At 36.6% G+C, this 27,453-nt stretch overlaps 1 protein-coding gene and 1 long non-coding RNA gene across 4 annotated transcripts in view; one reads left to right on the top strand and one right to left on the bottom strand.

Moving 5' to 3' along the window:
* The window catches only part of ITFG1 (integrin alpha FG-GAP repeat containing 1), a 306,856-nt gene that overhangs the window by 160,822 nt on the left and 118,581 nt on the right, over positions 1–27,453 (top strand). The gene's annotated exons all lie outside the window — the stretch shown is intronic.
* ITFG1-AS2 (ITFG1 antisense RNA 2) overlaps positions 1–27,453 on the bottom strand; it is a 60,347-nt gene extending 32,894 nt beyond the window's left edge. For both annotated transcript variants that reach the window (XR_007065056.1, XR_007065057.1), the window contains exon 1: positions 477–27,453. This is a non-coding gene — a long non-coding RNA (ITFG1 antisense RNA 2). The remainder of the gene's footprint in view (positions 1–476) is intronic.

The raw sequence follows: 27,453 nt of genomic DNA, 5'->3' as shown, positions 1-27,453 counted from the left end.
CTTCTCTCAGCCATTCATGTCAGAGGTCTCCAACACACCGTTGTGACCAAGTGGTAGGGATGGCTGACTAGAAGCATTTCAAGCACACCTCATACTTCAAAGAGCAAAATAGCATGTAGACAATTACAGTTAGAATAGATTTTCCAAGAAGGAACATGAGGAAGTCAACAGAAAAGCAACAAGAAAAAAATAGGAAGCAGAAGGAAAACAGGAAGCCTATTTGACCAGAGTGGGCCAGGAACTGGGAGTGATTCCCCATTACAGGAAAAGGTGAATGAAACTCTTTCTGCAGTCCACTTTCCCACTGGGGAATCATACAATCCAGACCATAGGAGAGTACTATGTCCCTCTCAAGTCCTGAATCTAACTTAGGGAGTAGCCAGGAGACTATGAGAAGGAACTACTCCAGGGAAAGAACATCCCATGCCCTTTCTGAAACACAAGTGGCAACCATAAGACACCACTCTTTATCCTACCTTTTAGCAGACTATGCACAGTCCCAGGAACGAGGCCAGAACTGATAAGCAAGTGTGGCATTGGCTCCAGCCAAGGTTATGGGATTCGGGAACCTCCCCATCCTGGAATTGGGCTGGGAGGGGTTTCACCTGGGAGCCACAGTTTTATGGCCTGGGGTTATATTGCAGTCCAAAGACAAACTGCTTGTGATTTGGCTGGCTGCCTCAGCTCGATGCCAGTGGCAGGCCGTAGGATGGTATCCCGCTAGGTTGAGAGCATGAGAGCAAGGCAGGTCTCACTACCACCTGCTAGGCTATGGAACCCGAGCCACCCCACTTTCCCCATGCTGGTTAGTTGGAACAGAAAGAGTTGCTCCACTTCTCCCTGAACTATTGCTCCAGTGGCCTGAGAACTGTCCTCCAACCCCCATCAGGGCTGGCACTTGTACTGGCCATTAGGAGGACCAGGTATAGACCTGCCCATCTCAGCCCCACCCTGCTTTCTCCTCTACCCAACACCACCAGCTTTCCCCCCTATTTCCCACCTTGGAAGCAAAGTACAGGACTGAGACCGCTGAGAATTCCGTGGCCCAACCCATTGCCTGGGAAACCCAAGTACATCACCAAGTTAACAAAGGTCAAGCCTTAACTGTAACACCACCACTGCAGCTGGCTCTCACCTGCACGCACTGCCTACTGGCCAGGATATCAACATGCACAGCCACTACAAAGTCTGATACAGTTTCATCCTATAAGTAAACAGCATTGCAGCCTAAAAGGAAACAGCATTGTCTAACCTAACCGAATATTCTGAATGTCAGACAAAGGCGAGTAAAGGTAGCAGATCTCATTCCTGCCTGTCAAAGCCATGGTGCTGGTACCGCCCTTCACTCCCCAAGCGGAGACCTCAGCAGATTTCACCAGGGGCCTGAGGACTCCCCCACCACCCCTCTCAGGGCTGGTGTGTACATCTGCCATGGGGGGCCTGAGTGCAGGGTTCCCCAATCTGGCTTTACTCAGCTTTACCACCCCATCCTAGAGAGAAGGTGACTCAAGCCCTTGAGCACTCCAGGGCCCAACCCACCACCTGGGACACTGAAAGCGCTTCTACAGATGTTAACAAAGATCACATATAAACCCTACTGCTATCATGGCAGCCTGCTCTAACTGGCATGTACCACCTACTGACCAGGTCAGCCTCCAAAACACAAGGCAAATCTGCTGAAAAAGATGCACAGCACTCAGGAAGGAGACAGGCTTCATGTGACCTCTGCATCCACCATCACCCATGCCACCCTGGCTTCTCAGTATTCTGAAGTGGCTTCTTCATCCACCCAGTACACAGCTACTACAACTGCCATTTTATAAAGCCACCACATTAAAGCTATTTTTAACTAATATTGTACAGAGTCTTTGCTACTGAACATACCCAGAAGCAAAGAGAAACAGCCCTACATAACATCATAGTCACATCCTGAAGAGAAAAAAAAAAATTTCCCCCCAAAGAAAGTAAATTCAAAAGCAAGAAGAAGCAACTGTTTTCTCATATGTAAAGAAATCAGTGTAATAATGCTGAAGTATTTAATAGCAAAGGGTTATGGCATCCCCAAAGAAACAGTAATTCTCCGGTAATAGATCCTAACCAAAAAGAAATAATCAAAATACCAATTTAAATTATTGATTGTAAAGAATCTCATGGAAATAAAAAGACAAATCTGAAAACCAGTACTGATGAATCAACAAATTAATTTTGAATATGAATGACAAGTGTACCAACGAGATGGATATCATTATTTCTAAAAAAGCCAGAACTGCTAGAAAATAAAAAATTATTGAAGGAATTAAACAAGACAGTTGAAAGCTTCAACAAGAGACTAGAGCAAGCAAAGCAGAGAATCTCACTGCTTGAAACAAATCTTTTAAATTAATAGAGTCAGAAAAAAAGAAAAAAATGAACAAAGACTTCAATATGTACTACATAGTAATGATTACACTTATGAATCCTTGGTATTTCCAAAAGAGAAGAAAAAGTAACAAGACTGGAAAACCTATTTAAGGAAATACTACGTTAAAATTTCCCTAGTCTTGCAAAAGATTTACACATTCAAATATAAGAGGCCCAGCAAATACCAGAAAAGTGCATTGCAAGACATAGTTCACCAAGAAATATAGTCATCAAACTGTATAAAGTCAACATGTAGGAAAAAATCTGATGTCTAGTTGCCTATAAGAGAAACCTTATCAGAGTAGCAGTGGACTTCTCAATGTGAGACTTAACAAGCCAGAATGGATTGAGAGCCTTTTTTCTGAGTTCTTAAAGAGAAAAAAAAAAAAAAAAGCAAACTGTCAATCAGGAATTTTATATCCTGGTAGAGTAAGCTTGATAAATGAAGTAGAAATAAAGTCTTTGCCACAAAAGCAAACATCAAGGGAAGTGGTCACAAATAGACTGGACCTACAAGGAATACTCAAAGGAATTCTAAACATGGAAACAAAGGGTTAGTACTTACCACCATAAAAGTGCGGGAAAGTATAAAATATTAACCTTGAATGTAAATGACATAAATATTCCACTTAAAAGATATAAATTGATGGAATGGGTTTTTAAAAATCAGCCATCTACATGCTGCTTATAAGAAATCCTCTCAGCTGGTAAAGACACTTACAGACTGTGGGTAAAGGAGTTGGAAAAAGATTTTCCTCACATGAATGGAAACCAAAAGCAAGCAGGAGTAACTATATTCATATCAGATAGAACATACTTTAAATCAAAAACAGTAAAAAAGAAAGAATGTCATTTTATAATGAGAAAGGAATCAAGTCAACAAGAGAATATAACAATCCTAATATATATACACCCAGCACCAGAGCACCCAGATTCATAAAACAAATATTACTACACCTAAAGACAAAGATAGACAATAATACAATAATAGTGGGGAACTTCAACATGCCACTCACAGCAACTGACAGAACACTGAGACAGAAAAACCACAAACACTAGACTTAAATTGGACTCTAGACCAAATGGATTTAATAGACACATGTGGAACATTCTAACCATATAATTCTTCTCATCGGAACATGGAACATTCTCCAAAATAGACCATATGTTACCACAAAGCAAGTCTCAAAAAATTTTTAAAAATCAAACTCATGTCAAGTATCTTTTCAGATCACAGCAGAATAAAACTAGAAATCAATACCAACGGAAATTCTCAAAACTATATAAATAGCCAGGCGCGGTGGCCCAAGCCTGTAATCCCAGCACTTTGGGAGACCGAGGCCAGTGGATCACCTGAGGTCAGGAGTTTGAGACCAGCCTGACCAACATGGCGAAACCCCATCTCTACTAAAAATACAAAAATTAACTGGACGTGATGGCGTGTACCTGTAATCCCAGCTACTCAGGAGGCTGAGGCAGGAGAATCGCTTGAATCCGGGAGGCGGAAGTTTCAGTGAGCCGAGATTGTGCCACTGCACTCCAGCCTGGGCGACAGAGCCAGACTCCATCTCAAAGAAACAAAACAAGAAACTGTATAAATAGACAGAGTTGACAACACACTCCTGAACAGTCTTTGGATCAACAATGAAATTAAAAAGGAAATTAAAATTTTTTTGAACAGAATGAAAATGGAAACAATATGTTAAAACCCCTGGGATATAGCAAAAGCAGTGCTAAGAGGGAAGTTTATAGTGTTAAATGCCTACATTAAAAAAAAAAGAAAAAAAGGGCTGTACTTGGTGGTTCATCTCTGTAGTCTCAGCGTCTTTGGGCAGCTGAGGCAGGAGGATCCCTTGAGCCAAGGAGTTCAGGACCAGTCTGGCCAACATAGCGAGACCTACCTCTACGAACAATTTAAAAATAAAATAAAATAAAATAAAATAAAATAAAATAAAAACTTAGCCGGGACATGGTGATGCATGCCTGTAGACTCAGCTACCTGGGAGGCTAAGGTGGGAAGATCGCTTGAGCTCAGAAGGTCCAGGCTGCAATAAGTCACGATTGTGCCACTTGCACTTCAGCCTGGGCAACAGAGTGAGGCCCTGCCTCCCAAAACAAAGGTAATTAACAAACTAACATCAAACCTGAAGGAACTAGAAACATATGAACAAACCAAACCCAAAGCTAGCAGAAGAAAAGAAATAATAAAAATTAAAGCAGTACTAAATAAAATTGAGACCAAAGAAATACAAAGAATCAAGACAACAAAAAGTTGGTTGTTGAAAATGTAAACAAAATTGATAAACCACTCCCTCTAATAACCAAGAAACAGAAGATTCAGATAAATACAATCAGAAATGAAAAAGAAGACATTACAACTGATAGAACATAAATATGAAAGATCATCAGAGAATACTATGAACAACTCTATGCTCACAAACTAGAAAACCTAGGGGAAATGGATAAATTCCTGGAAACGTAACCTCTCAAGATAGGAAGAAATATAAATGTTGAACAGATCAATAATGAGTGGTGAGATTAAATCAGTATAAAAACATCTCCCCAAAACAACAACAAAAGAGCTGCATGACCGTGTGGACTGACAATCAAATTCTCCTAAATGTACAAAGAAGTACTGGTACCAGTTCTACTGAAACTGTTCCAAAAAATCAAGGAGAAGGGAATCTTCCCTAACTCATTATATGAAATTGTTATCACCCTGATACCAAAGTTAGACAAGTACACAACAAAAAGAGAAAATCTGGTGAACATACATGCAAAAATCCTCAACATAATACTAGCAAATTGAATCCAACAGCACAGCAAGATTTATTCCAGCGATGCAAAGATGGTTCAACATATGCAAATTAATAAATGTGATTCACCACATAAACAGTGTTAAAAACTGTATGATCATCTCAGTAAATGCAGAAAAAGCATTTGATGAAATTCATCTCTTCATGATAAAAATCATCAAAACCTAGGCATAGTGAGCATGCCACAAAATAATAAAATCCATATACAACAAACCCACAATCAACATCATACTGAATGTGGAAACATTGAAAGCTCTTCCCCGAAGAACTGGAACAACACATGTATACCCACTTTCACCACTCCTATTCTAAATAATACCGGACGTCCTAACCAGAGAAATCAGACAATAGAAAGATATGAAAACCATGCAAATTGGAAAAGAGAAAGTCAAACTATCTGTATTCACTAAAGATATGGTCTAACACCTAGAAAAATCCTCAAGACCTCTCCAGAAAACTCTTAGTTTTGATAAACAAATCTAGTATAGTTACAAGATGCAAAATCAACATACAAAACTCTGTAGCATTTCTATACACCAATACAAATCAAGCTGAAAAACAAATCAAGAAGGCAGTTTCATTTACACTGACTACAAAAGACAAAATAAAATACTTAGGAATATATTTCACTAATAAGTTGAAAGATCTCTACAAGGAAAACTACAAAACTTTGATGAAAGAAATTGTAGATGGCACAAAAAGATGGAAAAACATCCCATGGTCCTGGAGCAGGAGAATCAATGTCATTAAAATGACCATAATGCCCAAAGCAATATACAGATTCAGTGCAATTCCTATGAAAATGCCAATGTCAGTTTTCACAGAATTAGAAAAAACATCCTAAAATTTATATAGAACAAAAGAAGAGCCCAAATGACCAAAGCACTCCTGAGCAAAAGCAAACCTGGAGTCATCATATTATCTTATCTCAAATTATAATACAAGGCTATAGTAACCAAAACATAGTACTGGTATTAAGTAAAATAGACACATAGATCAATGAAACAGAATGTGGAAACCAGAAATAAAGCCAAAAGTCTACAGTTAACTGATCTTTGTTAAGACAAAAACAACAATCACTAAGGACAATCTTTTCAGTAAATGCTGCTGGGAAAATGGGACAGCCATATACAGAATAATGAAAACTAGACCCCTATATCTCACCATATTTAAAAATTACCTCAACATGGATCAAGAACTGAAATATAAGATCTGAAATAATAAAAATACTGGAAGAAATCCTGGAAAGAAAACTCTTCTGGCCACCAGGCAGCTAATTCATGACTAAGGCCTCAAAAGCATAATCAACAATGACAAAAATAGACATATGGGACTTAATTGAACTAAAAAGCTTCTGCACAGCAAAAGAAATAATCAACAGGGTGAACAGACCAGCTGGCAAAATGGGAGAAAATATTTTTAAACTACAGATCTGATTAATGATTAAGGACTTATATTCAGAATTTATAAATAACTCAATCCAACAACAACCAAAAAAAACAAATACAAGTAACCCCATTTAAAAGTGGGCAAAGGACTCAAGTAGACATTTTTCAAAAGAAGACATATAGATGGCCAAGAAGCACATAAAAAAATGTACATTACTAACCCTCAGAGATACGCAAATCTAAACCACAATGAGACATCATCCTACACCAATCAGAATGGCTGTTACCAAAAACTCTATAATAATAGATTTTGGCAAGGATACAGAATTAAGGGAACTCTTATATGCTGTTGGTATGAATGTTTATTAGTACACCTGTATAGAAATCAGTTTGGAGACTTCACAAAGAACTAAAAATAGAACTACCATTCGATGCAGCAATCCCACTACTGGATATCTACTCAATAGAAAATAAATCATTATACCAAAACGATACCAGCACTTGTATATTTATTGCAGCGGTATTCATACTAGCAAAGATATGTAATCAACCTAAGTTCATAAACAGATGACTGCATACAGAAAATATATATATCACATTTATATATCATATTTATATATGATATATAATATATATCATTTGTATATGATATATATTATATATCATGCTTGTATATGATATATATTATATATCATGCTTGTATATGATATATATCATATGTATATACATATATACACATACATATATATGTATATGTGTATTTGTATATATGATATATATATCATATATATATAGAGAGAGAGCATGGAATACTACTCAACCATAAAAAAGAATGAAGTCATGTCTTTTTCACCAACAAGGATGGAATTGGAGGCCATTATCTTAATTTAAACAATTCAGAAACAAAGTCAAGTTTCTAATGTGCAGAATGGACATAGATTGTAAAATAATAGTCACTGAAGACTTGGAAGGGAGAGAGAGCATGGAATACTACTCAACCATAAAAAAGAATGAAGTCATGTCTTTTTCACCAGCAAGGATGGAATTGGAGGCCATTATCTTAATTTAAACAATTCAGAAACAAAGTCAAGTTTCTAGTGTGCAGAATGGACATAGATTGTAAAATAATAGTCACTGAAGACTTGGAAGGGAAGGAGGGTGAGGGGGGTTGAGGGATAAGAAGTTACTTAATGGGTTCAATGTACACTATTCAAGTGATCATTACACTAATGTCCCAGACTTTACCACTGTGCAACATAAAAAAAACTGCACTTGTAGCCTTGAGTATTCATGAGTAAATAAAAGGGAGAAAAGTCTGCACAGAGCCTATATTACTACACTCATCCATAAGCAAAATCACCACACTATTCCCAACTGGCACAATAAAATGAAACTCTAAAGTCTTTTTCTAGAACAGGCACACTAGGAAATTTGGAATCACTGATTATTTCATCGAATACAGAGACATCAATATAGGGACACAGAAAAACACATTAAAAAGCAAGGAAAGGCTGGGCACGGTGGCTCACGCCTCTAATCCCAGCACTTTGGAAAGCCAAGGCAGGTGGATCACGAGGTCAGGAGTTCTAGACCAGCCTGGTCAACATGGTGAAACCCGATCTCTACTAAAAATACAAAACTTAGCTGGGTGTGGTGGCGGGCGCCTGTAATCCCAGCAACTTGGGAGGCTGAGGCAGGAGAATCTCTTGAAACCAGAAGGTGGAGGTTGCAGTGAGCCGAGATTGTACCACTGCACTCCAGCCTAGACGAAAGAGCGAAACTCCATCTCAAAAAAAAAAAAGCAAGGAAAAATGGCATCATGAATGCCATATCATATCTCTAATAATGTATCCCAGTGTAAAAGAAATCAACAGTTACCAGAAAAGGAATTCAAAATAATGATATTACGGAAACTCAGTGTGACAAAAGAAAATACATGTAGACAATTCAACAGTCTCATAAAAACAATACGAGACTTAGATAAGAAATTCACAAAGGGGTATAAATCATAATAAAAAAATAAAAACCACACAGAAATCCTGCAGCTTAATTACTCAATGAATGAAATAAAAAATAAAATAGACAGCTGCAGTAGCAGACTTCATCAGACTTAAGAAAGAACCTTTAAATATGTAGATCTGTCATTTCAAATTACCCAGACAGAGATAAAAAGAAATAAGAATGCAAAAGAGTGAGAGAAATCCTACAAAACTTAAGTTACATCAATAGGCACACAAATAGTAATCTTATGGGAATTCCAGAAGGTGAAGAGAAGGAAAATTACATAGAAAATCTGGTTAATGAAATAGTAGATGAACACTTTCCATGTCGGTGGAGAGAGATGGACGTTTCAATTCAGGAATCTCAAAGGTCTCCAAAGAGAATCAACTGCAAATGGTCCTCCCCAAGGCATATTGCAATTAAATGGTCAAATGGCAGAGACAGGAAAAAAATTTAAAAACAGCAAGAGAATGAGGAGAAAAAGCAAAAAAGAACAGCAAAACAGTCAAGTCACATACAAAGGAATCCCAATTAGAATAACAGATTTCTTGCAGAAACCTTACAGGCTATGAATGAGTGGGATGATGTATTCAAAGTGCTGAAAGAAAAAATAATTGTTTTACATGATACGACCGAGAATACTGTAACTGTAAAAACCAAAGAATACTATAACCACCAAAGCTGTAGTTCAGCAGAGAGAGAGAGAAATAATGTCTTTCCTAGAAAAAAATCTGAGAGAATTTATAACTGCTAGATCAGCCTTACAAGAAATAGTCAAGGTAGTCCGAGATCTAGCAGGCCACAGGACAATATTCACCATCATGAAAACATGAGAAAGATAATAGAACAGATATTAAAAGAAAACAGAGACAAGAATTAAACCTTGTCGCTGCAAAAAACTGTGAAACCACATTAATAAACAAGATTGGAATAAAGAAACAAAGTATATAGAGAAAAAACAGAAAACATTCAGCCAAGTGACAGGAGTAAGTCTTCACCTATCAGTAATAACCTTGAATGTACCTGCATTAAATTTCCCACTTAAAAGATACAGACTGACTGAATGGATTTAAAAACAAATATGGCCCATCTATACCTACTACAAGATACTCACTTTACCTGTAAATACACATATAGACTGCAAGTGAAGAGACGGTAAAAGATGTTCCACACAAACAGAAGCCAATTGAGCTGGTATCGCTACATTTATTTATAAAAAACAGACTTTTTAAAAACTCTAAAAACAGACAAAGTAATTATTATATAATGATTGAGGAACTGATCCAGCAACAGGATATAATAATTCTAAATGTAAATACACTCAATACCAGAGCACTGCGATATATAAAGCAAATATTCTTAGATCTAAAGGGAAAGGTAGACTTCAATACAATAATAGATGGAGACGTCAGTAACCACTCTCAGCATTAGATAGATCATCTGGACATAAAACCAACAAAAACATTGCTTTCAGATTGTCCTTTAGACCACATGGACCTAACAGACATTTACAGAACATTTTATCCAACAGCTAGAGAAGGCACATTCTTTCCATCAGCACTCTCCAGGGTAAGACCACATGGCAGACCACAAAACAAGTCTCAACAAATTTTTTTAAATTAAAATTATATTAAATATCTTTTCTCACCACAATGCAACAAAACTAGAAATCTGTAACCAAAGAAACTTTTGAAATTGTGCAAATATATGGAAATTAAACAGTATGCTTCTGAATGACCAATGGGTCAATGAAGAGATGAAGAAGGTATCTTAAATGGGTTTTGAAGCAAATGAAGATAGGAAAACAGCATACCGAAACCTGTGGGATACAGCAAAAGCTGATATAAACACCAACATTAAAAAACTAGAAAGATTTTAAATAAACCACCTAACAATGCATGTCAAAAATAGAAAATCATGAAGAAACTATACCCCAAGTTAGTTGGAGGAATGAAACAATAAAGATCAGAGCAGAAATTTTACTAATTGAGACTACAAAACAACAGGATGAATGAAGCAAAAGTTGATTTTTGAAAAGATTAACATAAATTTACCAATAGCTAGACTCATCTAGATAAAAAAAAGAGGAAAGGCCCCAATAAATAAAATCAAAAAGGAAAGGGAGACATTAAAATTGATATCACAGAAATACAAGGACCATTAGAGACTATTACAAACAACTATATGCCAACAAATTAGAAAATCTAGTGTAAATGGATGAATTCATGTACACATACAATCCACCAAGATTGAACCAAGAAGAAACAGAATACCTGAACAGACCAATTAGAAGTAATGAGATTTAATCCTGAATAAAATGTCCCCCATTAAAGAAAAGCCCAGGACCCAGTAGCTTCAGTACTGAATTCTATAAAACATTAAATAAAGAACTAATATCAATTCTTAAGGTATTTCAGAAAATTTAGGAGGTGGAAATTCTTGCATACTCATTATACAAGGTCACCATTACCCTGATACCAAAACAAGACAAGGATGCAACAGAAAAAGAATAGTACAGTTTAATATGTCAGGTTAGTTGAGATGCAGAAGTCCTGAGCTAAATACTCACAAACTGAATTCAGCAGCACATTAGAAAGAGCATTTACCATGTTCAAAGTGAATTTATCCCAGGAATATAAGGATGGCTAAACTATACAATTCAATAAATGTGATACACCACATTAACAAAATGAAAGACAAAAACTCTTTGGTCATCTCAATAAATATCGAAAGAGGATGTGATAAAATTCAGCATCCTTCATCGTAAAAACTCTCAATAATTTAGGTACAGAAGGAATATACCTCAACATAGTAAAGGATATATATGACAAACCTACTGCCAACATTATACTACACGAGGAAAAGTTGGAAGCTTTTCCTGTAAGATTTGGAAGGAGACAAGGATACCCATTTTACTTCACCTTTTTTAAGAGTCTCGCACTGTTACCCAGGCTGGAGTGCAGTGGTGCAATCTCGACTCGCTGCAACCTCCACTTCTTGGGTTCAAGCGATTCTCGTGCCTCAGCCCCAAGTAGCTGGGACTACAGGTGTGCACCACCACGCTGGCTAGTTTTTGTGTTTCTGGTGGAGACGGGGTTTCACCATGTTAACCAGGCTAGTCTCGAACTCCTGAGCTCAAGTAATCTTCCTACCTTGGCCTTTGGTCTAAGCGACAGAGCGAGACTTTGTCTCAAAAAAAAAAGAAAACCAAAAGTAAATGCTGTTGAGGATGCAGAGAATGGGAAACTCTTATACATTGATGGTGGGAAAGTAAATTAGTACAGCCATTACGGAAAACAGGGTGGAGGTTGCTCAAAAAATATAAAAAATAGAACTATCATACCTGCCATACGTTCCAGCAGTCCTGCCACTGAGTATCCCAAGGAAAGGAAATCAAAAGGATACCTGTACCCCCATGTTTATTGCAGCTCTGTTCACAATAACCAAGATATTAAATGAACCTAACTATTCATCAAGAGATGAATTGATTTTTGCAATGTGGTATATAAACACAGTGGAAAATATTTAGCCATTAAGAGTGGAAATGTTGTCATTCATAACAGCATGATGAGCTTGGAGGACTTTATATTAAGTGAAATAATCCAAGTACAGAAAGGTGAATAACCACATTCTCATTCATGTGGAAGCTAAAATAGTTTATCTCAGAAGTAGAGAGTAGAATAGTTGTTACTTAAGATAGAGGTTATTGTGGAATAGGTGAACGCCAAGGGTTGGTTAATAGACTCTTTCTCAAAAAAATAAAAATAAAAATGTACAGCAGGACCATTTCTCCTAGTCTACAGGATGCAACTAGGAAGACTTCCTGGAGAAAGTAATGTCAGCAGTTGAAGTTCTTATATGTGGATAACACTGTATAAGGCAGAAGATAATTGAGTAAATTGAGATATTTATTCTTGCCATGCTTTCTAACAGAAGAGGTTAATGCTCACTTTTCACCTTAAACTGTGAATAGACATTTTTCCAAAGAAGATATGCATAGGATAAAAAGGCACATAAAAATTTGCTTAACATCATTAGTCATTCGTGAAATTCAAAACAAAACCACAATTAGATACCACTTCACACTCACTAGGATGGCCAGAATCAAAAACAGACAACCCTGGTATGGTGGCACACACCTGTAGTCACAGCACTTTGGGAGGCTGAGGTGAGGGAATTGCTTGAGCCCAGGAGTTCAAGACCAGCCTGGATAACATAGTGAGGCCCTGTCTCTACAAAAAAAAATTTTATAATAGCCAGACATAGTGGCAGGTGCCTGTGGTCCCAGCTACTCAGGAGGTTAAGGCAGGAGGATCGCTTGAGCCCAGGAGGTCAAGGCTGCAGTGAGCTGTGTTTGTGCCACTGCACTCCTGCCTGGGTGACAGAACAAGCCCCTGCCTCAGAAAGAAAGAAAAAAAAATAGAGCAGTTGGTCTTGCAGCAGCTGGGCTTGGTGGCTCACGCTTGTAATCCCCCTTTGGGAGGCCAGGGCATGAGAATCACTTAAAGCCAAGAGTTCAAGACCAGTCCGGGCAATAGAGCAAGATCCCCACCTCTAATTTAAGAAAAAATTATATGTAAATATATATATATTTAAATAGAGAACATTTCTGTTAACACAACGTTATTCTGGACAGCATTTCTCTGTATGGTGTACAGAGTTAGAATGGTCTTCGGGTCTAGTTGCAGCATCATTTCTTAACCAAGTGTCCTTGCATTAGCTCTGATACATCTGATCTTCAGCTTTATCTTACAAATGCAGCTAGCAATTGATGTAGGTCTTGCTTGCCTCAAAAAGCCAAACTTTTGAACAAATTTATTATCTTAACATTCCTTGAATGTGAACTACCTGAGAGGAAGTTGTGATTAAGTGAAAGAATATAGATTTTGTAAGTTTACCACATATTAAATGTGAGATGTTCAGTGAGTTTTTTAACCTCTCTCAGCCTTGCCTATCTCATGAATACAATAGGGATAGTAATCCATACCTCATAAGACTGGAGGAATTAAACTGTATAATGTATCAAAGCTCAGCACCTAGCACATAGTATATAAGCAATGTGGTGCTACCCAGATCTCTCTTTAGGACTTAAGGACCTATTTCCTGGGCTGCTGAGAAGGCTGCCATCTGACAGCCATTTGCTATTAACACTCTCTGGCAATTATCTTTTTTTTTTTTTGAGGCAGGGTTTCACTCTTGTCGCCCAGGCTGGAGTGCAATGGTATGATCTTGGCTCACCACAACCTCTGCCTCCCGGGTTCAAGTGATTCTCCTGCCTCAGCCTCCCAAGTAGGTGTGATTACAGGCACCCGCCACCATGCCCAGCTAATTTTTGTATTTTTAGTAGAGATGGGGTTTCACCATGTTGGCCAGGCTGGTCTAGAACTGCTGAACTCAGGTGATCCACCCACCTCGGCCTCCCAGAGTGTTGGGATTACAGGTGTGAGCCACCGCGCCCAGCCTCTGGCAATTATCTTTAACAAAGAAGGCCACTTTTTCTAGTGATATGCCTCCTTTATCATATCATATAATTGACGGGGCAGTTAAAGTCCCAGCCTCTGCACCCATAATGGAGGACAATTTGGAATGGCCATCCCAACTTCAGAGCTTCCTGTGGGATAGATTGAGGCCTTTGTTAAGACTGCATCACAGTCTAAATTCTCCCTCTACCTATGTAGAGTTCAATGTAATATATTTACTGCTGTCCTGTTTCCATCTCAGATCTCCTTCCCAGGGAACCCAACTTGCCCCAAGCAGTGATGTTACTTCCATCTCCCTATACTGAGCTCCTTCCCTTTGTAGTCTGCCATGTGGAGGAGTGTCAGGAAAGGCTTTTGGGAGAAAGTGGTACTTACACTGAGTGTCAAAGGAATTACAAATAATTTAGCAGTGGGTAAGTGTGGGGGTGAGTTTCAGGGAGAGCAACACTTGCCAAGGCACAGATGATCAGAGGCAGAGGGTACATGAAAGAATTATAAGCAATATTATTATAACGCGTGTTTACAAAATTCTTTGAATTGACTACTACTGTTTTCTACAGCTCTTATGTAATATAATTGTGTAGGAAAAACTCTCTCTGCCTATGTTTTTCCTCTACTCTCACACCACAATAGTTACTAACATAGAAGACTTGGGTGACCATATGTGTGGAGTTTTTGTCCCCACACACAAAGCAGCAGACACCAGCTGGGTGTCCTCTAATTCAGTTCCAACACTCCTGGAGATAGTGTCAGATCCAACAGGTTAAGGGCTCAATCCCCAAGACCACTGCCACATACACACTAGTTGCAAGCCCAGGCCTCTGAAATTTCTGTCCAACCAGCGTCAGGTTGGGGTTCCCATGACCCCCTCCTTTGGTATGAGTTAATTTGCTGGAGTGGCTTACAGAACTCAGAGAAGCACTTACTTATATTGACAGGTTTATTATAAAAGATATAGATGAAGAGAGGCATAGGGTGAGGTACGGGGCAGGGGCTCAGAGCTTCTAAGCCCTCCCTGGGCACAACCCCCTCCAGCAATCTCCACTTGTTCAGCTCGGATGTTTACTGAACCCTTTCCTTTTGGGTTTTTATGGAAGCTTCATTGCATCAGCATTCTTCCCCCAGGGTATAGGGTGGGACTCTCTCATGGGAGTGTCTTAAGACCCAGGATCAGAAAGGAACATTAGCGTGAACGGAGTGCAGGAGAAGGTCAGAGGCCTGCCTCTGAGGCCTAACACACCCAACATTACAACAAAAGACTGTAACGAGGGCTATGGGAGTTTTGAGCCAGGAATGGTGGAAGAAAACTAATATGTATAATACCACCATAATAACAATAATACTTGACATGTGTAGAGTAATTCTGATGTTGTTCTATGTAAGTTTCTATAACATGATAGCTTCAGTTTTTCAAATGTTTTCATTCCTTCAGAATAAATATTACACCATAAATTCTAATTAAATATATGTGTGATTCAAGAAAATTATACAAGCTTTGGGTTTTCATGTACAAACTTAAGAATACTTATTTGAGGACATTTTGTTTTTTGAAGATTCAGAAACAGTTATTCTTCCATGAATTATTCCAAGCACATGAATTTTTTTAAAGATACATTTCAAAAATAGCACATTCATTCTTCTCTTGACTCTCTAAGGAGCACAGAAAACAATTTTAATGGGGGTGGTTGTGGGGAAGGTGAGCATAGTTGACTTGACCCATTATGCATTAATCTGACAGGTAGCTAAAGAATGTAATGAAATAGCTGTTTGGATTGTATTTATTGTGTTTATAGATGTATTAAAACATCTATCACTGTTTAGATGATGGCTACACTGTATATTATAACTGCAAAACAGGATAAATTAAACTGAGTTTCATCTATGAACATTAAAACACTTGTGAGTGTGAGGAACGCGTTTTGTAAGGCTACTATATAATGAACACAATATCTATTTAAATAAGTTGCATATATTCTTGACTATAGAAATATGTTATATCTTATTGGTGCTCTTTTTTTCCTAGAATTTTTGTGTACTTTTATTCTGCTTCATTAATGTTTTTATAAATGTATAATTGTTTAACAACTTTGTGGAGGTAAATACACATATCATAAAATTCACATGTTGAAAGTGTACAATCTAATGGCTTTTGGTATATCCACAGAGGTGTGCATCCATTGCCACAGTCAGTTTTAAAACATTTCTGTTACCCCAAAAAGAAAACCTCACACTTCTAAGCCATCACCTCCCAAGCCATAGACAGCCACAAATCCATTTTCTGTCTCTACAGATTTGCCTATTGTAGTCATTTGACTAAAATTGAATCATTATAATTCATGATCCTTCATAATTGGCTTCTTTCACTTAGCATAGTGTTTTCAAGATTTACCCTTAATATCAGATATATCAGTTCTGCATGTCTTTTTATTGCCAAGTAATTTTCCACAGCATGGATATACCACATTTTATTTATCCATTTGTGAGCTTCAAATGTTGACTGACACAATATTGTAGAAAGGTACCAAGAGTGAACCTGGTTTGTGTATTAGTTTCCTATTGCCATAGTAACAAATTGCCACAAATATAATGTCTTTTAGGAAAACACAGATTTATTATATTCTGAAGTCAGAAGTCTGAAATAAGTTTCACTGGGCTAAAGTCGAAGTGTTAGCACCACTTGTTCTTCTGGAGGCTTAGGGGAGAACTTGTTTCCCTGCCTTTTCCAGCTTCTTAAGAATACCAGCATTCCTTGGCTCATGGCCCCATCCTCTGTCTTCAAATTTCACAGTGTAGCATATTGGTTTTAGTCAGGGTTCTGCAGAGAAACAAAACCAATAGAATGGACAGAGACAGGATTTATTATAAGGAGCTGGCATGGTATTGCTATAAAAATAGACACACAGATCAATGGGACAGAATGGAGAACCCAGAAGCAAACCCACATACCTTCAACCAACTAATATTCAACAAAGTTGACAAAAATACACAATGGGGAGAGGACAGTCTCTTCAAAGAATGATGCTGGGAAAATTGGCTAGCCATATGCAGAAAAATTAAACTGGACCCCTGTCTCTCACCATATACAAAAATTAACTCAAGGTGGATTAAAATCTTAAATGTAAGACCTGAAACTATAAAAATCCTGGAAGAAAACCTAGGAAAAACTCTTCTAGACATTGGCCTAGGGAGACTTTATGAATAAGTCCTCAAAAGCAAACACAATAAAAACAAAAATAGATACATGGAACTCAATTAAACTAAAAGGCTTATCTACATAGCAAAATAAATAATGAACAGAGTAAGCAGACAGCCTACAGAATGGGAGAAAATATTTGCAAACTGAACATCTGACAAAGGGTTAATATCCAGAATCTACAAGGAATTCAACTCAGCAAGAAAAAAAAGCAACCCCATTAAAAACTGGGCAAAGGACATGAACAAACATTTTTCAGACAAAGACATACAAGTGACTGACAAGCATGAAAAAATATTCAACATTACTAGTCATCAGAGAAATAAGAATTAAAACCACAATGAAATATACCATCTTTCACCAGTCAGAACAGCTGTTAAGTCAAAAAACAACATGTTGGCGAGGATGTGGAGAAAAGGGGCCACTTATTTGCTGTCATTGGGAATGAAAATTAATACAACCTCTGTGGAAAACAGTATGGAGATTCCTCAAAGAACTAAAAATAGAATTACCATTTGACGTAGCAATCCTACTACTGGGTACTTAACCAAAGGCAAAGAAATCATTATACCAAAAGGATACCTGTACTCATATGTTTTTTGCAGCACTATTCATAGTAGCAAAGCTATGGAATCAACCTAAGTTCCCCATCAACAGATGATTGGATAAAAAAATATATATATCATATACATATACACCATGGAATACGACTCATCTATAAAAAAGAATGAAATCGTGTCTTTTGCAGCAACATGGCTGGAACTGTCTTAAGTGAAATAACTCAGAAACAAAGTCAAATACTGCATGTTCTCACTTGTGAATACAAGCTAAATAATATGTACACATGGACATAGAGGATGGAGTAATAGTGAAGACTCGCAAGGCTGAGGGGGTGTAAGGGATGAGAAATTACTTAATGGGTACAACTCATGGGTACAGTAGTATATATTGTACCAATGTAGTAATTTCTCATCCCTCATACCCGCTCAGCCTCATGGGTACAATATATACTACTGTACTGTACGTGGGTACAATAGGATATATTGTACCCATGAGGCTGAGGGGATGTGAGGGATGAGAAATTATTACATTGTATAACTATTAACTATGTATACAAATAGTATATATTGTACCCATGAAGCTGAGGGGATGTGAGGGATGAGAAATTATTTAATGAGTACAGTATATACTATTGTATACTAAAAGCCCAGACTTCATCACTACATAATATGTCCATGTAACAAAACTGCACTTGTAGCCCTTAAATCTATAAAAATAAATAAATAGTAAAAACAGAAAAATAACAAAGGCAAATCAAAAGCTGGTTTTTGGAAAATATCAACAAAATCGTTAAACCTCTAACAAGACTGACAAAAAAAAAGAGAGGATTGTTAGTTTTTAAACAATAACAAAAATGAAACAGAAGATTTTACTACAGATGTTCAGATGCTTAAAGGATTAGTGTTGTTGCAATGAACAACCCTCCATGCATAAATTGACAACTTTGACTTAATTTAACAATTCCTTGAAAACCACACACTATCAAAATTCATTCAAAGTGAAATAGATCATAGGAACCATTGTATAACTATTAAAGAGATTAAAACTTTAACCACAACCTTCTGAAAAAGAAATCTCCAGGCCCAGATAGTTTCACTAACAAATTCTACGAAACCTTTAAATAATTCCAGTTCTACATAAGCTCTTCCAGAAAATAGAAGACTAAGGGACACTTCTCAATTCAACTAAATTTAGGAGGCTGATGTTAACCTTAATGCCAAACCAGGCAAAAACAGTACAAAAAAAGAAAACTACAGACTAATACTTCATGAACAGAGATGAAAAATTACCCAACAACAAATTAGCACATTGAATCTCTGATTCTCCAGTACCACTTGTGTGCCCAGTGATCCAAGCCACTGACACCAAATTCCCAGAGTAAGTGTGCAACTCTACATTTGTTAAGGATTCTGTTCCACAAGACTGCCTTGACTTCATATCCCGATCTCAAGCTCCAGTCCCCAGGATACCCAGATTTCTCTCCAACTTGGCTACAAATTCAGGAGTCCTCATTCCTCCCCATGTTCAATAATGTGCTAGTAAGACTCACCAAACTCTGGAAAATGCTATACATTCTATTGTAGTTTATTCTAAAAGAAGCAAGTGAACAGCAAAATGAAGAGGTACATTAGGGTAAGGTCACAAGGGTCACAAGCATGGCCTTTTTTGTCCCCATGGAGTTAGAGTGTCCCACCCTCACAACTGGATGTATTCACCAAATCCTGTCGTTTAGAGGTTTTTAGGGAGGCTTCATTACGTAGGCATGATTGATTCAGTCATTGGCCATTGGTCGTTGGACTCAAGCTGCTCCTCCTCTCTTTTCTGGGACGATTAGGGGGTGAGACTGAAAGTTCCAACCCTCTGATCAAAGATTGTTGTTTCTGGTGAAAGGCCTCATCCTGAAGCTATCTAAGGGCCTTAGCATAAACTCAAGATAGATGAGATAGCTCATCTCATTAGCATAAACTCAGATAATTGGAAGGGCCTGTTATGAGTAACAAAAGATGCTCCTATTGCTCAGGAAATTCCATTTAGGAGCTCCATGCCAGGAACTGGGGACCAAGACCAAATATATATTTCCCATTATACCAAAGAATCCCAGCAATATATCAAAAATAATACACCACAACCAAGTGGGCTTTATTCCAGGGATGTACAGTTATTTAATATTTAAAAATCATTTTATTCCTCCATTTACTATTTTAAATAAAGGAATAAGCATATCAGTTCATGTAGAAAAATCATTTAACAAAATTCAATGCATTCATGATAAAACCTCTCAGAAATATGGGAATACAAGGGAACGTCATCAACTTGATAAAGAATTATAAAAAAATCTACAGCCAACCTTATAATTAATGGTGAAAGTAAAAGTAATGCTTTTCTCTAATACTGAGAATAAGGCAAGTTTGTGTTCTCTCTCTACTCCCATTGAACCTAGTACTGGAAGTCTTACCCAGTGCAGTAAAGCAAGAATAAGAAATAAAAGACATACAAATTGTAAAGAAAGAGGTCAGACTTCCCCTATTGAGGTGACATGATTGTTGGTGTAGAAAATTTGAAAGAATTAGGGAAAAAAAACCTCATGTAACTATTAAGTGAATTTAAGATAGTGGCAGGATACAAGATCAATACACAAGAATCACTCTTATTTCTATATATTAGCAATGAACAACTAGAAATAGAAATCAATACAATCCAATTTAAAGCAGCATTAAGAAACAAAATACTTAAGTATAAATGAAACATATTAAGTATCTATATGTCATTAACTCCAAAATGCTGATGAAAGAAATCAAAGAAGACCATTGGTGAGACATACCATATTCAGGCACTGGAAGACTCAACATCCAAAAATATCATTTCTCTCAATATGTAGAGTTATTGTCATTCCTATCAAAATCGCAGTAGAGTTTTTTTGTAGATACAGACAAATTGATTCTATAATTTATATGAAAAGACAAAGGAACCAAAATAGCTAAATCAGTTTTGAAAAAGAATATAAAATTGGAGAAATCACACTCCCTAAGTTAAGGATTTTACTATATAGCTACAATAATCAAGACAGTGTGGTATTGGCAAGGCAGTAGACACATAGATCAGTGGAATAACTTAGACTGCCAAACAAGTACAGCTTACTAGTACAGCTAACGGTGTTTAAGAGAAGTGTAGTCTCTTTTTCAATGGAGAAAAGATAGTCTTTATAACAGATGGTATTGGAAAAACTGGGCATCCCTAGCAGGGAAAAAAAAACCTTGACTAAACATCATATCTTACACAAAAACTAACTCAAAATAGATTACAAGCTTAAATGTAAAACATAAAATGATGAAACCTTTAGAAGACATAGAAAGTCTTTGTGACCTAGATTGAGTTAGTTGAAGAGCTCTTAGCCATGACACCAGAAACACAGTCAACGAAAGAGAAAGGCTGATAAGTTGACCTTTATCAAAATTCAGACCTTTACTTCACAAAAGACATTGCAAAGAGGATGAAAAAACAAGCCACAGACTAGGAGAAATAATAATTGCAAATCTCATTCACAAAGGATTTGTATTCACAATATATAAAAAAACTCTAAACTCAAAAATAAAAAAAAATAGGAAGATTCAGAATGTAACTTGGTTCCTAATTTTTTATGAATGTTAAACTTTGAATGCAGAAGAAATGTAAGAATTTCAAGTCTTTCATAAGTATTCACCATTGCTTAAGTTATTCCCTTATCATAAATTGTACATAGCTGTGCTGTCAGTGAGTAATATTTAGGTTGACATAATTCCTATTAGCTGATAATAATCATTTCCACTCCAGTTGCTGAGTTATTTTCCCTTCACATATGGTAAGTCTCTCCCTTCCTCCCCATTGCCACTACTGGCTTTTCCCTAGAGTAACAGCATTAGAAGTTCAAAAATATCACTTTCACAACTTTTTTTTCTATACAGAAATATTTTTTATCTAAGCCTGTGTGTGACAGATCTGTCACAGAATAGCAGTGAAATTGCTGGTCCAGGCAGGAATAGAAAGAGCAGAAACAAGTCGGCCTGCCTCGCATGCTTTCTCATCTCTCTTGCATACTGCCTGGACCATGGACACTTGTGCATAATGCTCTACCATCTGAAATGTGGAGCGAGGTAGCAGCAGCCGCCCCTTCTGTTCCTGCCCTAGACTGACTCAGCCCTAGTCCCAGTGCCTGGAAAGAAACTCCATTTGTAAATGGCGTCTTCCAATCACCTTTCAAATCACCACCATTCTGAGAAATCTTCACTTTTGGTCATATTTGTTCAGATTATTCTGATACAACTGAGACCCCTGTGACTTGTGTTCTCCTCGACTCCACCACTATTCTTTATGTCTGTTCTATTTACATGAAAACATGTTAAACACTGACACTTCTATACACAAAATCTCCATTTGTAATCTCCGTTAAGTAAGACTGCTTTAAATAAAGACTGGAAGCAGACCTCAAGACCAATGAACAGATATAAACTTAATCTCCCCTTTAGACAATAGGAGTATGAGGGAACACAGGTAGATATGTGAATAAATAATTGGTTTAATGCTGAAACAAATTTATTCTGCCTTATATTTTATATATAATTTTGTGATATACTTTAAAGGTTATCTGTTTGCGCAAGATATTTGTTCTGATTATGGGCAATTCTGAGCTTGAACTGGGACATAAGCTTGTCTCTCCCAAATATAATAGCTGAAATAAGTGTATGTGCTGGCATATCACACACAGCCATCTCCTTACAGAATAAGAAATTTAGTAGCATATTCTTCAAAACACAGTTGTGTTGTTGTAGTATGTATTTTTTGTGCGTACATACTACTTCTTCAAAATCCACTCTGTAGTTTACACTAAAGCACATCTGAATTCAGAATAGCCACATTTCAATTCCTTAGTAGCCAAACGTGAATAGTTCTTACTATATTGCATGTTGAAATGGTCATATCTAATTTTCTTTTGAAGTTTCAAGGTACTGTGTTCACTGCCATATTGTAAATATATTCTTATACAGTTGACCACTGAAAAGTACCAGTTTGAACTCTGCTGATGCACTTATGTGGAATTTTTTCAATAAATACAGTCAGCTCTCCTTACCTGTGGATTCTGCATCCACTACCAAACACAGATGGAAAATATAGTATTCGTGGGATGCAAACCCTTGTACATATTTCCTATGGCATCGGACCCCAAAGGGCTGACTATGGACTTCAGTATGTGTGGATTTGGGTATGGGTACTGGGGGCTGGTCCTGGAACCAATCTCATGTGTATACCTAGGGACAATTGTATTTAATTTTTACAATTTGGGAAATTAAAATGCATGGATTATATTTCCAATAAAACAAGCAAACTGATTTTAAGATAATATAATGTTTTTGATGAGCTATATAGCTCAGTTAAAATTATAATCTAGTACATTTTTACATGTAATTGTGTATAAGCTGCCACAATAGTAATGATAACTCAGTGGTATTCAGTAGGCTCTTCTCATGTGACAAAACAAAATGGGAGAGAATAGGGATAATTATAGCTAGCTTAATGTTACAGATGTGCACAGAATGAATACAGGTTATTTTGTTTGCAATCTCAGCTTTTCTCGATCTTATTTAGGTAATAATGATCTATCTTGTGGTCATAAAGATATTTTCCTGTATTTTATCATAAAAGTTTTAGAATTTTACTTTTCATATGTAGGCTTTTAATGTACCTAAACTTTATTTTTGTGTATTGCATCAAAAGAACCTAGTTTAATTCATTTCTCTTGGATAACCAGTTGTCCCCATGCTTAATGAGTAGTGTATTTTTCCCCACTGACTTGTAATGCCACGTTTGTGTGTATCCAGTTTCTCTGTGTGTGTGGTCCTATTTCTGTGCCTTCTATTTTGGTGCCTTACCTTAATTATCAGTCTGTGCACTGATTCCACATAGTATTAATCATTCTAGCTCTAAAATAATGTTTGATATCTGATAGGGAAATACCTTCCCATGTAATTTTGTCTTCAGAATTGTCTTGACTATTCTTGTCCCTTTGTCCCTTCACATGAATTTAGAATTAATTTTTCTTATTTGACCAAAAAAAATTCTGTTGACTTCTTGATTGATTTGATTACATTTTATTTAAAGATTAATTTTTGAGGAACTATTTGTGATGTTGAATCTTCCATTCCATAACATTTATTCACATTGTCTTTACATTTCCCCTGGTAATGTTTTGCCATTATCTTCATAAAACTCCGACACAGCTTTTGCTAGATTATTTTTTAAAACTTAGAGATTTCATTGTTATTGAATGAGATTTTTTTTTCCTATTACTTTTCTAATGACTATTATTGAAATTTAAGGAGGCTATTGATTTTGGTATGTGGATCTTATATTCATCAATCTGACTATTTTCTTATTCTAATAATTGGCATATTCTCTTGGATTTCCTATATAGATAATTATTTCATTTGAAAATAAAAATGATCTCTTGCTATGTAAGTATTGTATCTCTTCTTTCTTTTTTAGTCTTATTGCATTGGCCAGGACCTTCATTACAGTGTTGAGTAGTCATGGTGTTATTTGGTATCATTGACTTGTTCATGACCATACATTCTTTTTATTCAGAAGAGTTTATTTTGTAATATGTAACAGAACCATGTATGACTTAATAGAATGTAAATATAGTACAGTACTTTTTATTTTATTTATTCTTCTAATCACAGATTATAGCAATTTAGGAAGTACAAATTTTAAAAGCTTAAAAATCACCCAGAGATGATCACTGTTTGCATTTTGATATGTGGCAGAATCACAAATTAGGTTTTAAAGTCAGTCTAAAAATGGCAGAATTACTCTTTAAAATCCATTAAATCACTCACAAGTTAAAATATACATATATGGATTTGTGTCATCTTCCCTATACATATACAGTAATATATATTGTAAGATAAAATGGAGAAGATTACATATGAAAACACAATTCTCTAGCCTTTTTACTATACCTCTACAGTTGGTGAAAAACAGATTATATATTGATCTCCTACAGCATGTCAAGCATGCAGTTGGATTCAGAACGTTAAATCTGTGTGGATTAACTCCAGCATGTACGTGATTTTTATCTTACTAGCTTGAGAAGCTATGCTTGTGTGATGCAACTCTCTCATATAAAATGTACTGTATTTTATATAGCTATATTTTATAAATACCTATTATTGTGTATTTACTTGATAGCATTATTATTTAGCCCCATAAGTGACATTTCACAAACAGTGCCCTGTATAATCCAAAAACAGCAGTTGAAGAAATATAATAACAAAGGAGAGGACTGGGATTCTCAAATCCAAAGAAAATATATTATTCCAGGTCCTTTCAGGAAGTAGACATTCAATGTCAGCTAAACAGAGTAGAATAACAGATTCATACATGTCAGGTACATGTGGAAATTTAGCAAAAGATTTATGAACATGAACCCAAGCAGAGGAAACTATTAAAAATAACAGACATGTGATATGTAAAATTCACCAGATAAAATCCCTGGTTGTGTTAGCCACACTTTCAAAATTCTATTGTTCATAAGTCTTAGAAATTCCTTCCCTCCCCTTCTTCCCATAGTGAACAGAGTTTGAATTATATTTCAATTCTTTACATACTACAGAGTTTGAAATAGAATTCTAAAGAGTGAAGGAACAATCATGGACTTTCTGAAAGGCTTTTTCATTATGGCTATGGTATTTAAGCAGACTTACTCAGATTTTGTTCCACAAAACATCTATTGGACTAATGGCCTTTCCCACTGTAGTTCATCTCTCTACGTCTTCAACAGCTTGTTAGCAGACGTAACAAGCTGTTACGTCTATATAAGGATATATAGAAGTGAGAGTTTATTAGTGGTATTTTCTACAAATTTTCATTATCATAGGTATTCTATTGTTTGGCAGTTTTAAAGCTACCATTATAATAAGAAGAGAGAATTTCATCTCATAGCATGTGAAGCTTAAATCTTCAATTGGGTCACTTGGGGTCACCTAAGGCCAACAGTAACCTGAAAAGGAAAAAAGTTTTCAGTTTTTTTTACTAGAAGGGCTAATTGTGTTACATCTGTTCTTTCTTTCAGCCCAAGTTTTAGTTAATTGTCTAAGTGTTCTGTTCTCTGCTTAGCAAAGGATTTAATAGCTGATTTTATATACATTCCTGGTTTAATCTTACTTTAATACACTTTCATTGATAGGATAAATGCACCTTCTTAAGGTGGGCAATTCTGTTAACTCAGCATGGTCAAACTTTTCTCAAGATGATAAGATTGAATCTTACATTTGGTTAGTTCTTTTTTTTTCTTTTTATGAGATGGAGTCCCTCTGTCCCCCAGGCTGGAGTGCAATGGCGTAATCTTGGCTGACCACAACCTCCACCTCCCAGGTTCAAGCGATTCTCCTGCCTCAGCCTCCCGAGTAGTTGGGATTACAGGCACCCACCACCACACCCAGCTAATTTTTGTATTTTTAGTAGAGATGGGGTTTCACCATGTTGGTCAAGCTAGTGTTGAACTCCTGACCTCAAGCAGTCCACCTACCTCGGTCTCCCAAAGTGCTGGGAATACAGGCGTGAGCCACCACGCCCAGCCGATTAATTCTTGTATCTCATAGTTATTAAAGTACATGGATTTCTTACCTTTTATGAGCTAATGAATATTTTGTAGTAACCCTGGAGGAGGAGTTTGCAGTGAGCCAAGATCACACCACTGCACTCCAGCCTGGGCAACAGAGTGAGACTCCATCTCTAAATAAATAAATAAATAAATAAATAAACAAACAAACTAATAGATTCTTTTGAATATAGGTAAATTAAAACATGACAAAATATTTTCTACTCACCTATTTGACAGAAACTTTTCAGCAGTCACAGTGTTATATTCCATTAGGTTTCCCTTTCAGTTGGCCTCCCTCTACAAAAGATGCTCGCTTCCTTTTTTCATTCAGGTAACATGTGCTGTCTCCCCCACTGAGTCACATATCCTAGACACTGACTGGGGATAAATGGATTGCATTTGCCCAGAGATAAAGTGAACTTTATTGTGAATATCAATTAATTGCCTTTGACTATTTCTTGTTGTCAGTAGCATATGTTGCAAAACACTTCAATAATATTTAGTATTTCTAAGTGAAAGTTTTATATCAGCTTAGCTAAGCATTCTGCACTTACCGATAGTAGGCAGCATGGGTTTCAGAGCATCATTTTTTTAATGTTTAATTTTTAGAGGATTCCTAATGGACTTATTTGTGTTTCTTCTTAATTTGTTTTTCTTCTCCATGTAGAACTGGCTTTCCTAAGGTTTATACAGTAAGACAGACGTATCCCCACATTGAAGCTCTTTCCATTTGAGTCTAGGCTGATAATGAAATTGGGGAATTAAGGAAGAGAGTTAAAGACAGTCTGGAAGAGGAGAACTCACTGAATATAGAAATGACTAAAATGGACATGAGCTCTAAGGACAGCCAAGGAGAAAAATCAGACTTTAAGTTAAATGATCCATAAGCTACCTCTCTTAATGAGAAGTAAGACAGTTGCTTACAGCACATTAACCACCTAGAATAACCCAGACCTCATCAAGTGGTAGTGTATTGAGT

This window comes from Homo sapiens, chromosome 16 (genome assembly GCF_000001405.40).
Source record: "Homo sapiens chromosome 16, GRCh38.p14 Primary Assembly".
Taxonomy (NCBI): Eukaryota; Metazoa; Chordata; class Mammalia; order Primates; family Hominidae; genus Homo; species Homo sapiens.
Note: the sequence above shows the minus strand (reverse complement) of the source record. Positions and strands in the feature narration are given on the sequence as shown.